The 13,756-nt window shown below is 36.7% G+C and overlaps 1 protein-coding gene across 50 annotated transcripts in view; it reads right to left on the bottom strand.

Moving 5' to 3' along the window:
• Nucleotides 1-13,756, bottom strand: part of ANKRD36 (ankyrin repeat domain 36) — a 151,369-nt gene that overhangs the window by 86,419 nt on the left and 51,194 nt on the right. For all 50 annotated transcript variants that reach the window (XR_007074204.1, XM_017004009.2, NM_001354587.1 and 47 more), the window contains 3 exons: nucleotides 13,634-13,706; nucleotides 10,498-10,526; nucleotides 10,336-10,408 (listed from right to left, as the gene is read on the bottom strand). Coding sequence is in view for 49 of the 50 variants with exons in the window: in XM_017004009.2 (XP_016859498.1) it covers nucleotides 10,336-10,408; nucleotides 10,498-10,526; nucleotides 13,634-13,706 (175 nt within the window). In the remaining variant the exon portion in view is untranslated. The remainder of the gene's footprint in view (nucleotides 1-10,335; nucleotides 10,409-10,497; nucleotides 10,527-13,633; nucleotides 13,707-13,756) is intronic.

Raw genomic sequence — 13,756 nt, 5'->3', positions numbered from 1 at the left:
CTCTGATGGCCAGTGATGATGAGCATTTTTTCATGTGTTTTTTGGCTGCATAAATGTCTTCTTTTGAGAAGTGTCTGTTCATGTCCTTTGCCCACTTTTTGATGGGGTTGTTTGTTTTTTTCTTGTAAATTTGTTTGAGTTCATTGTAGATTCTGGATATTAGCCCTTTGTCAGATGAGTAGGTTGCAAAAATTTTCTCCCATTTTGTAGGTTGCCTGTTCACTCTGATGGTAGTTTCTTTTGCAGTGCAGAAGCTCTTTAGTTTAATTAGATCCCATCTGTCAATTTTGTCTTTTGTTGCCATTGCTTTTGGTGTTTTAGACATGAAGTCCTTGCCCATGCCTATGTCCTGAATGGTAATGGCTAGGTTTTCTTCTAGGGTTTTTATGGTTTTAGGTCTAACGTTTAAGTCTTTAATCCATCTTGAATTGATTTTTGTATAAGGTGTAAGGAAGGGATACAGTTTCAGCTTTCTACATATGGCTAGCCAGTTTTCCCAGCACCATTTTTAAATAGGGAATCCTTTCCCCATTGCTTGTTTTTCTCAGGTTTGTCAAAGATCAGGTAGCTGTAGATATGCAGCATTATTTCTGAGGTCTCCGTTCTGTTCCATTGATCTATAGCTCTGTTTTGGTACCAGTACCATGCTGTTTTGGTTACTGTAGCCTTGTAGTATAGTTTGAAGTCAGGTAGTGTGATGCCTCCAGCTTTGTTCTTTTGGCTTAGGATTGACTTGGCGATGTGGGCTCTTTTTTGGTTCTATATGAACTTTAAAGTAGTTTTTTCCAATTCTGTGAAGAAAGGCATTGGTAGCTTGATGGGGATGGCATTGAATCTGTAAATTACCTTGGGCAGTATGGCCATTTTCACGATATTGATTCTTCCTATGCATGAGCATGGAATGTTCTTCCATTTGTTTGTATCCTCTTTTATTTCCTTGAGCAGTGGTTTGTAGTTCTCCTTGAAGAGTTCCTTCACATCCCTTGTAAGTTGGATTCCTAGGTATTTTATTCTCTTTGAAGCAATTGTGAATGGGAGTTCACTCATGATTTGGCTCTCTGTTTGTCTGTTGTTGGTGTATAAGAATGCTTGTGATTTTTGCACATTGATTTTGTATCCTGAGACTTTGCTGAAGTTGCTTATCAGCTTAAGGAGATTTTGGGCTGAGACAATAGGGTTTTCTAGATATACAATTTTCATATCCAGCCAAACTAAGCTTCATAAGTGAAGGAGAAATAAAATACTTTACAGACAAGCAAATGCTGAGAGATTTTGTCACCACCAGGCCTGCCCTAAAAGAGCTCCTGAAGGAAGCGCTAAAAATCGAAAGGAACAACCGGTACCAGACTCTGCAAAATCATGCCAAAATGTAAAAACCATCAAGACTAGGAAGAAACTGCATCAACTAACGAGCAAAATAACCAGCTAACATCGTAATGACAGGATCAAATTCACACATAACAATATTAACTTTAAATGTAAATGGACTAAATGCTCCAATTAAAAGACACAGACTGGCAAATTGGATAAAGAGTCAAGATCCATCAGTGTGCTGTATTCAGGAAACCCATCTCACGTGCAGAGACACACATAGACTCAAAATAAAAGGATGGAGGAAGATCTACCAAGCAAATGGAAAACAAAAAAAAGGCAGGGGTTGCAATCCTAGTCTCTGATAAAACAGACTTTTAACCAACAAAGATCAAAAGAGACAAAGAAGGCCATTACATAATGGTAAAGGGATCAATTCAACAAGAAGAGCTAACTATCCTAAATATATATGCACCCAATACAGGAGCACCCAGATTCATAAAGCAAGTCCTGAGTGACCTACAAAGAGACTTAGACTCCCACACATTAATAATGGGAGACTTTAACACCCCACTGTCAACATTGGACAGATCAACAAGAGAGAAAGTCAACAAGGATACCCAGGAATTGAACTCAGCTCTGCACCAAGTGGACCTAATAGACATCTACAGAACTCTCCACCCCAAATCAACAGAATATACATTTTTTCAGCACCACACCACACCTATTCCAAAATTGACCACATACTTGGAAGTAAAGCTCTCCTCAGAAAATGTAAAAGAACAGAAATTATAACAAACTATCTCTCAGACCACAGTGCAATCAAACTAGAATTCAGGATTAAGAATCTCACTCAAAACCGCTCAACTACATGGAAACTGAACAACCTGCTCCTGAATGACTACTGGGTACATAACAAAATGAAGGCAGAAATAAAGATGTTCTTTGAAACCAATGAGAACAAAGACACAACATACCAGAATCTCTGGGACACATTCAAAGCAGTGTGTAGAGGGAAATTTATAGCACTAAGTGCCCACAAGAGAAAGCAGGAAAGATCCAAAATTGACACCCTAACATCACAATTAAAAGAACTAGAAAAGCAAGAGCAAACACATTCAAAAGCTAGCAGAAGGCAAGAAATAACTGAAATCAGAGCAGAACTGAAGGAAATAGAGACACAAAAACCCCTTCAAAAAATTAATGAATCCAGGAGCTGGTTTTTTGAAAGGATCAACAAAATTGAGAGACCACTAGCAAGACTAATAAAGAAAAAAAGAGAGAAGATTCAAATAGACGCAATAAAAAATGATAAAGGGGATATCACCACCGATCCCACAGAAATAAACTACCATCAGAGAATACTACAAACACCTCTACGCAAATAAACTAGAAAATCTAGAAGAAATGGATAAATTCCTAGACACATACACTCTCCCAAGACTAAACCAGGAAGAAGTTGAATCTCTGAATAGACCAATAACAGGATCTGAAATTGTGGCAATAATCAATAGCTTACCAACCAAAAAGAGTCCAGGACCAGATGGATTCACAGCCGAATTCTACCAGAGGTACAAGGAGGAACTGGTACCATTCCTTCTGAAACTATTCCAATCAATAGAAAAAGAGGGAATCCTCCCTAACTCATTTTATGAAGCCAGTATCATTCTGATACCAAAGCCAGGCAGAGACACAACAAAAAAAGAGAATTTTAGACCAATATCCTTGATGAACATTGATGCAAAAATCCTCAATAAAATACTGGCAAAACGAATCCAGCAGCACATCAAAAAGCTTATCCACCATGATCAAGTGGGCTTCATCCCTGGGATGCAAGGCTGGTTCAATATATGCAAATCAATAAATGTAATCCAGCATATAAACAGAGCCAAAGACAAAAACCACATGATTATCTCAATAGATGCAGAAAAAGCCTTTGACAAAATTCAACAACCCTTCATGCTAAAAACTCTCAATAAATTCAGTATTGATGGGACATATTTCAAAATAATAAGAGCTATCTATGACAAACCCACAGTCAATATCATACTGAATGGGCAAAAACTGGAAGCATTCCCTTTGAAAACTGGCACAAGACAGGGATGCCCTTTCTCACCACTCCTATTCAACATAGTGTTGGAAGTTCTGGCCAGGGCAATTAGGCAGGAGAAGGAAATAAAGGGTATTCAATTAGGAAAAGAGGAAGTCAAATTGTCCCTGTTTGCAGATGACATGATTATATATCTAAGTTGCTATTTTATCCAATAGCTCCTTGAAAAACAAAGCCAATGTATGCATATTCACGTTTATCTCATTTGAATAACCAATGTCAACAAAACATATACCTCTGGTGCCCAATGGTAACAAAGAGGAGCAATGAGTCACTGTGGTTTATCCCAATTCTATCACTCTTTCCTGCTTCCAGTAGTTCCTGGAGCAGCCAAAAATCAAATCATCCCTTATGCAAATATTCTAAATGCATCTGAAGTGAGTTCACTTAATCTAAGAGTTATAATTTTAAAAATCATTTTATTTATACTCATGAAGACTCCTGATGTTTTTACATTTCCTGGATTCAGCAGTTCGACTTTCTCACTGTCTCTTCGTCCACTTTTGCAAAAACATACACATCAATGAAATAATGTGTAATCAGATTCCTATGAAAATAAACTAAACAAAGTTTCTAAATCACTAGAGACTTCTTTTCTTATAAATAACCAACCAATATGACATAATACATATATATACATATGTCATGATTGTCATGATTATTGGCAGTTATCTGTTTAGTACTCTTAAAATACATTCTTTGATTCCTTTTTTTTTTAAATCTAGTTTCACATGATATACCATCGGGGTCTCTCAGGTTCTTTTACAAAATAACTACCTCAGCAAACACAGCTTTCAAAAAAAAACCAAAAAACAAAAATCTGATGTGAACAAAGCATGTATCACTGATGTGCAAAACTTCTAGGGAGAAGAAATGAGACCCTGTGGGTTACCCTCATCCTTCTAACTTCTGCTTCTGCTTTCCATTAAGCGACTTCCCACAAGTCTCCTCATCAGAAACCTCCAAATTACCTCACTAGCTGCTTTCTTTGTTTACACCTGCCCAATTTGACATACACTCTTTTTTGTTCATAAATCTAACATCCATATTGGTGGACTTGATTCTTTGACCTCCACATTCGTTTCTTCATTATTTTCACCACCACTGTATGTGACATCTGTACAATCCCATTCTGACACATGTGAGGATAAGGTTTTGCTTTATTAAAATGTTAAATGTGTCAGACACTTGACTAACGTGTACAAATTCCTTCTTCACAAAAGCAGCCCCATGGCCTCCTCTCTCCCATAGACACTCTTTCACAGCTGTTCTTCACTCACATCGGTTTGAGTATCTATCATCTCTCATTTTGTCTCTATGCTTTCACCTCATATTATGAGTTATTATCATAGGCTCAGCAGCCTATCCTACCTGTTTTCCTCTCCAGCAGACAGTACTGAGCAATAAACTAGAATTTTCCAGGATATGAACACTTTTATGTACACAACACTTTGTGGAGCTATTTTATGTTTAACTACCCATAACACCACTATGTCTATGCTTTCCAGAGAAACAAGCTCTGAAATTTTATTCAATATAACCTATTTAGAAACTTCTTTAACTACAATGACAGTCTCTCCTTGATGCACCAAAATCTTCAGAAATAACTTGTGAAGACTTGAAAACATGTCAGTAATTGACATGAAAAATGAAGCACTGACATAATTTTTTGCAGGTATAAAAAAGACAAGCTGAGATCCTTACTAGATCCAAGAAGAGCAAAGTACATTAGACAGGAAATAAATATGGAACAGAAACATTTTCATTTGTAATGAAAATTCCTCTATTTACAGTTTTCAGAAGAGAAAAAAATACACACACATACACACACACACACACACACACACACATTCACACACAAAAACCAGAGCAATATGGCTTTACGGGGTGTTTCTTCATCAAAGTCCTATTTGCCATTTGACATCTGGGAACACTCTATAGGGATCAACAAAGGGGTTCTAAATTGTGATCTGAGTAGTTTAGAGTTTAACATTCATGAAGGGGAGCCAAGAGGACAAGTAACACTTTGACCATTGGCCATTTCCACTCCTTACTGTTAGTCTCTGAAAAGCACACACTGGATTTTCTCAGAGTCAGGACATGTCAAAAAGACATGCTTTAAGGGGGAAACAGGTGCAATCAACACAGCCATGGGAGAGATACAGCTATGCTTGCTAGGATTTCCAATACTTCTGTTTCATTTCTAATATAGTACAAATCAATAAAAGCAACCACATAAGCATATCCATGTTGGTATGTCATCATATTTAAGTCTATATGGTATCGGCATGAAGAGAGCATAATATGCTGTAGTCATCACATGGCATATCATGAGATCATACAATAAATCAAGAAATACCTCACTGGGTCAATGTGGATAGATCTGAAATATATATCACTGATTTTACAAAGACCAAGTTGCATTCATTAAGTGCACTGCCTGAACTTTTCTACAAGTTTTTAATATACAAAATCAAGTCCTACATGTTATCTATGAATGTGCACATGTGTTGTAAGAGGTTTTTAATGTGCATTTGGGTGATTTTTTTAAATTAATTCAAGCTCTTGATTACATGTCAGCAGTAAGCTTCAGTATTATAGGAAACCCAAAACCGTAACAGCTCAGAATCACCGTCTTAAAAGGCTGTGTCTACCAAAGAGTCAGGAAAGCATGACCACTTACTTTCTTCATTTTTGAAACTCAGAGGTACCTCATGCACACTCCCAAATAAAACTGCACAAGTTCCTTAGTTTAATTAGATCCCATTTGTCAATTCTGGCTTTTGTTGCCATTGCTTTTGGTGTTTTAGTCATGAAGTCTTTGCCCATGCCAATGTCCTGAATGGTATTGCCTAGATTTTCTTCTAGGGTTATTATGGTTTTAGGTCTCACTTAAACGTTTAAGTCTTTAATTTATCTTGAGTTAATTTTTGTTTTTTTTGTTTTTGTTTTTTTTTTTACAGAACACTTTTTTTTTTTAATTATACTTTAAGTTTTAGGGTACATGTGCACATTGTGCAGGTTAGTTACATATGTATACATGTGCCATGCTGGTGCGCTGCACCCACTAACTCGTCATCTAGCATTAGGTATATCTCCCAATGCTATCCCTCCCCCCTCCCCCCACCCCACCACAGTCCCCAGAGTGTGATATTCCCCTTCCTGTGTCCATGTGATCTCATTGTTCAATTCCCACCTATGAGTGAGAATATGCGGTGTTTGGTTTTTTGTTCTTGCGATAGTTTACTGAGAATGATGATTTCCAATTTCATCCATGTCCCTTCAAAGGACATGAACTCATCATTTTTTATGGCTGCATAGTATTCCATGGTGTATATGTGCCACATTTTCTTAATCCAATCTATCATTGTTGGACATTTGGGTTGGTTCCAAGTCTTTGCTATTGTGAATAGTGCCGCAATAAACATACGTGTGCATGTGTCTTTATAGCAGCATGATTTATAGTCCTTTGGGTATATACCCAGTAATGGGATGGCTGGGTCAAATGGTATTTCTAGTTCTAGATCCCTGAGGAATCGCCACACTGACTTCCACAATGGTTGAACTAGTTTACAGTCCCACCAACAGTGTAAAAGTGTTCCTATTTCTCCACATCCTCTCCAGCACCTGTTGTTTCCTGACTTTTTAATGACTGCCATTCTAACTGGTGTGAGATGGTATCTCACAGTGGTTTTGATTTGCATTTCTCTGATGGCCAGTGATGATGAGCATTTTTTCATGTGTTTTTTGGCTGCATAAATGTCTTCTTTTGAGAAGTGTCTGTTCATGTCCTTCGCCCACTTTTTGATGGGGTTGTTTGTTTTTTTCTTGTAAATTTGTTTGAGTTCATTGTAGATTCTGGATATTAGCCCTTTGTCAGATGAGTAGGTTGCAAAAATTTTCTCCCATTTTGTATTGCCTGTTCACTCTGATGGTAGTTTCTTTTGCTGTGCAGAAGCTCTTTAGTTTAATTAGATCCCATTTGTCAATTTTGTCTTTTGTTGCCATTGCTTTTGGTGTTTTGGACATGAAGTCCTTGCCCATGCCTATGTCCTGAATGGTAATGGCTAGGTTTTCTTCTAGGGCTTTTATGGTTTTAGGTTTAAATCTTTAATCCATCTTGAATTGATTTTTGTATGAGGTGTAAGGAAGGGATCCAGTTTCAGCTTTCTACATATGGCTATGTAGAAAGTTTTCCCAGCACCATTTATTAAATAGGGAATCCTTTCCCCATTTCTTGTTTTTGTCAGGTTTGTCAAAGATCAGATAGTTGTAGATATGCAGCGTTATTTCTGAGGGCTCTGTTCTGTTCCATTGATCTATAGCTCTGTTTTGGTACCAGTACCATGCTGTTTTGGTTACTGTAGCCTTGTAGTATAGTTTGAAGTCAGGTAGTGTGATGCCTCCGTTAATTTTTGTATAAGGTGTAAGGAAGGGGTCCAGTTTCAGTTTCCTGCATAAGGCTAGCCAGTTTTCCCAACATCATTTATTAAATAGGTAATCTTTTCCCCACTGATTGCTTTTTGTCAGGTTTGTCAAAGATCATACGGTTGTAGATGTATGGTGTTGCTTCTGAGGCCTCTGTTCTATTCCATTGGTCTATATCACTGTTTTGGTAGCTGTACCATGCTGTTTTCATTACTATAGCCTTGTAGTGTAGTTTGAAGTCAGGTAGCGTGATGCCTCCAGCTCTGTTCTTTTTACTTACAATTGTCTTGGCTATATGGGCCCTTTTTTTGTTCCATATGAAATTTCCAGTAGTTTTTTCTAATTCTGTGAAGAAAGTCAATGGTAGTCTATAGCATTGAACCTATAAATTACTTTGGGCAGTATGGCCATTTTCATGATATTGATTCTTCCTATCCATGAGCATGGAATGTTCTTCCATTTGTTTGTGTCCTCTCTTATATCCTTGAGCAGTGGTTTGTAGTTCTCCCTGAAGAGGTCTTTCTCATCCCTTGTGAGTTGTATTCCTAGGTATTTTATTCTCTTTGTAGCAATTGTGAATGGGCGTTCACTCACGATTTTGCTATTTGTCTTTTATCGGTGTATAGGAATGCTTGTGATTTTTGCACACTGATTTTGTATCCTGAGACTTTGCTGATGTTGCTTATCAGCTGAAGGAGATTTGGGGCTGAGACAATTTGGTTTCCTAAATATACAATCATGTTATCTGCAGAGACAATTTGACTTCCTTTCTTCCTATTTGAATACCCTTTATTTTTTCCTCTTGTCTGATTGCCCTGGCCAGAACTTCCAATACTATGATCAGAGTGAACAAGCAACCTACAGAACAGGAGAAAATGTTCGCAATCTCTCCATCTGACAAAAGGCTAATATCCAGAATCTAAAAGGAACTTAAACAAATTTATGAGAAAAGAACAAACAACCTCATCAAAAAGTGGGTGAAGGATATGCTCAAAAGAAGACATTTATTCAGCCAGTAAACACATGAAAAAAAGGCTCATGATCACTGATCATTAGAGAAATGCAAATCAAAACCACAATGAGATACCATCTTATGCCAGTTAGAATGGTGATCATTAAAAACTCAGGAAACAACAGATGCTGGAGAGGATGTGGAGAAATAGGAACGCTTTTATATTGTTGGTGGGAGTGTCAATTATTTCAACCACTGTGGAAGACAGTGTGGTGATTCCTCAAGGATCTAGAACAAGAAACACCATTTGACCCAGCAATCCCATTACTGAATACATACCCCAAAGATTAAAAATCATTCTACTATAAAGACACATGCACATGTATGTCTATTGCAGCACTATTCACAATAGCAAAGACTTGGAACCAACCCGAATGCCCATCAGTGATAGACTGGATAAAGAAAATGTGGCATATACACATCATGGAATACTATGCAGCCATAAAAAAGGATGAGTTCATGTCCTTTGCAAAGACATGGATGAAGCCTGAAACCATTATTCTCAGCAAACTAACACAGGAAAAGAAAACCAAATGCCACATTTTCTCACTCATAAGTGGGAGTTGAACAATGAGAACACATGGACACAGGGAGGGGAACATCACACACCGGGGCCTGTCAGGGAGATGGGGTCCTAGGGGAGGGACAGTATTATTAGAAATACCTAATGTAGCTGATGGGTTGATGGGCACAGTAAACCACCATGGCACATGTATGCCTATGTAAAAAACCTGCATGTTCTTCACATGTATCCCAGAACTTAAGGTATAATACAAAGCAAACAAACCAACATTAATTCAGGTTGTTGGTTACCTGTAGGCAATGAATTGTAGTAGTATCAAAGACTCTAAGGCTAAAACAGCTCAGAGTCATTGCTTTAAAACCCTGTATCTACCAAAGAGTCACGAAAAAATGATTAATGACTTTATTCATTTTCCAGAATCAGAGGTATCACACACACCCAAACTCACAAACAAAAGCGCACACACACATACACATGCAGAAATTCAAGCTGGTAATCAGAGCATGTGATTGGGTGAAGACTCGAAGGTTCTCAGTGTGACAACACCGACATAAAGAAGATGAAGTTCTAACACAATTGTAATGTCAGCTGGTATAGCTTTTCTCTAGGTAAAGGACAGTATTGCAACCAGAAATTGAAGCACTGAAAAATATTTATAGTTTCAAAATTCATCTCCTTGAACCCCTAACATGCACACAAATTCCACATTGGGATCTTTATCACAACCTAAAAGGAAAAGCATCTGAGCTAGAGCTCACATTTTTAAAATTTCTTTTCCTTGTTCTTCTAAATATCATTTTATAAGCATAGACACTAACAACAGCATCAGCATCATTTAGATCAAATCCTTCTATCTTATTGGGGTAAAAGAAGTAAGAATCAGAAGGCTATGAACATTTCCAGTATATTCATGTCCTTCTTTCCAGATGAAATTTGTATTGGCAAATTTACCTTTTCCTGGAGGTGGTGAATCCTTCCTTCTCATGGCTGCTTTTGAACTGGGATCTGCCTCTTTCAGAGTAAGCTGAATGGGTTTTACAACATAATGATTAATATGTCATGTATATATCACAAAGCATTTTGTTAATTAAAAATGAAAATATATTTGTTTACCGTGGATAAAGGAGGTCGCTCAGAAGATTCTACAAAGCAAAAGGGACACATAATTAAGTTTTCATAAAACATGTAGTCCAGATTTCAAGAGAGAGATTAGGTTTCACATGACTACAACTAACACAGGAAAGTACTTCTACCAATGTGATCCTCTTAACTGAAGCCAAAAAATGTGATGTCAAAAGAAAGGACCAAATAGGACCCCAGAAGGATAAATGTCAAAGCCCATGGTAGAATACTATGGTGTACCCTGAAGAAAATCACCCAAGAACCATTTATACTATAATACTACAATAGTTCTCCTGTTCTTCATTTTGTCCTCTAACTTAAAAACTATCAATTTCATTAAAATCTATCATTCACTTCTGCTTGCAGGATGTATTCTCAGTTCATTAGTTCAGATATCTACATACAGAAGCATAGTTAACAAAAATACTCATGTTGTCCACAGTCATGCACGCTTCTGGTGTTTTTCCATTTCCTGGATTCTCAACTTTAGCCCTCCTGCCATCTCTTCATTCACTTATGCAAAAAAGTATACATTACACTCCAAATACCTAATGTGTAATTAGATTCCCATAAAACAAATCTAACCAAAATATTTGAAACATCAGAGGCTTTTTTCATGTTAATCAAAATATTTGCCATGATTATCGACAGTTACATTTTAACAAACCCGCACATTGTGCACATGTACCCTAAAACTTAAAGTATAATAATAAAATAAATAAATAAATAATACTTAAGAAATATATTTCTTGATTGTTTTGCTTCCACAGTCAGTTTGACATGCAGTGCATCACATTTTGCTAACATGAAGCACCTGTCCTATTGTTGCTGTGTGACCCCTACAGAGAGAAGAATTGAGTCCCTGTGGTTTACTCTCATTCTTCCACCTCTGCTTCCATTAATCTCTGAAGCAACAATAATCCAATATTCTGTTCGAGTGCGAATATACCAGGTCCACATAAAGTCAGTGTTCTCAGGTTTCCTCATCAGAAACCCCCAAACACCTAGCCAGCTGCTATCTTTATTTACACCATCCCACCCCACTTGTACTCTTTTTTGTTGATAAATCTAATCTCACTATCTGGTCTTCATTCTTTGCCTTCCACATTTTGTTCTTCATTATTCTCACCACCCCTGTGATCAAACCAGTAAAATCTCATTTTTATAAATATGAAGATATGGTTTTCCTTTATTAGAATATAAAAGTTACAGAAAATGGACTAACTTGTACAAATTCCTTCTTCACAACAGCAGCCCCATGTCCTCCTCTCTCCCATAGACACAGTTTCATAGTTTCTATTCACTCACATCAGTTTCATCGAGTATCAACTCTCATTTTATCTTTACGGCTTTATTTTACATGAGGGTTATTATCAAAGACTCAGCAAACTATGTTACATATTTTCTTCTACACAAGAGATTACTGAGCAGTAAATAAGAATTTCTTTGGATATAAACACTTTTATGTACACAAACTTTTTGTGAAGCTAATTTATGGTTAAATACACATTACACCATTATGTGTTATGTGTTCCAGATAAACAGAACTCTAAAATTTTATTAAACATATTTAATTTTAAAACTTCTGCAATTACAATGACATAGTCTCTGCTCAATGCAGCAACATCTTCAGAAATCACTTGTGAAGACTTGGGAAAATGTCAGTCATTTACATGAAAAATGAGAGCATTAAGTGACAACACTGCTTGCTGGTATAAATAAGACAAGGCTAGATCCTTACCAGATTCAAAGAGATCAGAGTGCCATGGACAGAAACAAATATATAAAACAGAAAGATTTTCATTTCTACCAAAAATTCATGTATTTAAAGTTTTCAGAAAAGCACAAAATACAGGAAAACACAGCGGTGAGGCATTATAGAGCATTTCTTTATCTGGAGACTATCATTTGACACCTGGAAACCCTTTATAGGGCCCAACAAAGGGGTTCTAAACTGTGATTTGATCATTCCTGGAGTTCATCATCTATGTAAGGAAGCCAAGGTACCAAATGATACTTTGGCCATTTCTTCTTTCCAATGTCATTCTCTGAAAAGCATACACTGGAGTTTTTCAGCTATGGCAGTGTATACAGCTATACTCGGGGTATCTGAAATACTTCTATTTAATTTCTTTATAGTACAAATCAATAAAGGCAACCACATAAGCAAATCTATGTTGGTATGTCATCATATTTATGTTCATTTTGTATCAGCATGAAGAGATTTTAATTAATTGTGGTGCAGTCATAAAACAAATCAAATATGTGGTGCAGTCATAAAACAAATCAAAGATGACCAAACTGTGTCAACCTGGACAGATCTGAAATATATTCCACTGATTACAAAAGCCGAGTTGCAGCTATTATGTACACTGTGTGAAATCGTATAGAAGACTTGATACTTGGAAACAGATTCCACATATTACCTATGAAAGTGCAAGTATCTTGTAAAGTATTTTTAATGTGCATTGCAGTGACTTAAAAGTAAAAACGTTAATTCAGGCTGTTGGTTACCTGTAGGCAATAAATAGTAGTAGAAGAAAATATTCTAAGGCCAAAACAGCTCAGAATCATTGTTTTAAAACACTGTATCTACCAAAGAGTTACAAAAGAATGATTAATCATTTTATTCATTTTTAATCAGAGATACACACACACACACATGCAGAAACTCAATCCGGTAATCAGAAGATGTGATTAAGATTCTCAATGTAACAACGCTGAAATAAAGGCGTTGAAGTTCTAAAACAATTGTAAAGTCAGCAGGTATAGCTTTTCTCTAGATGAAGAAGACAGAAGAGTATTGCAATCAATTTTGAAGCACTGAAAATATTTAGTGTCAAAATACACCTCCTCAAATCCCTAACATGCACAGGAATTCAAAACTGGGATCTTTAGCTGATGACAACTTTAAAGGAAAAGCATTTGGGCTAGAGCTCACCGTGTAAAATGTCCGCCTTATGCCTTAAAAATCATTTTATAAACAAAGATATTAACAAGAACATCAGCATATTTACATCAAATCCTTCCATCTCACTTGGATAAAAAGTGGGAATCAAAAAACTATGAGCATTTTCAATATTTTCATCTACATTTTCTAGAACGAAATTTGTAGCGGCAAATTTACCTTCACTGGAAGTTAGTGAATCCATACCTCCTAAGAATCTAGTTGAAATGTGATCTCTGTCTTTCACCGTATGCTGAATGGGTTTGACAACATAATGATTAACATATCATGTATATATCACAG

This window comes from Homo sapiens, chromosome 2 (genome assembly GCF_000001405.40).
Source record: "Homo sapiens chromosome 2, GRCh38.p14 Primary Assembly".
NCBI classification, from domain to species: domain Eukaryota; kingdom Metazoa; phylum Chordata; class Mammalia; order Primates; family Hominidae; genus Homo; species Homo sapiens.
This window is presented reverse-complemented; position numbering and strand designations above follow the sequence as displayed.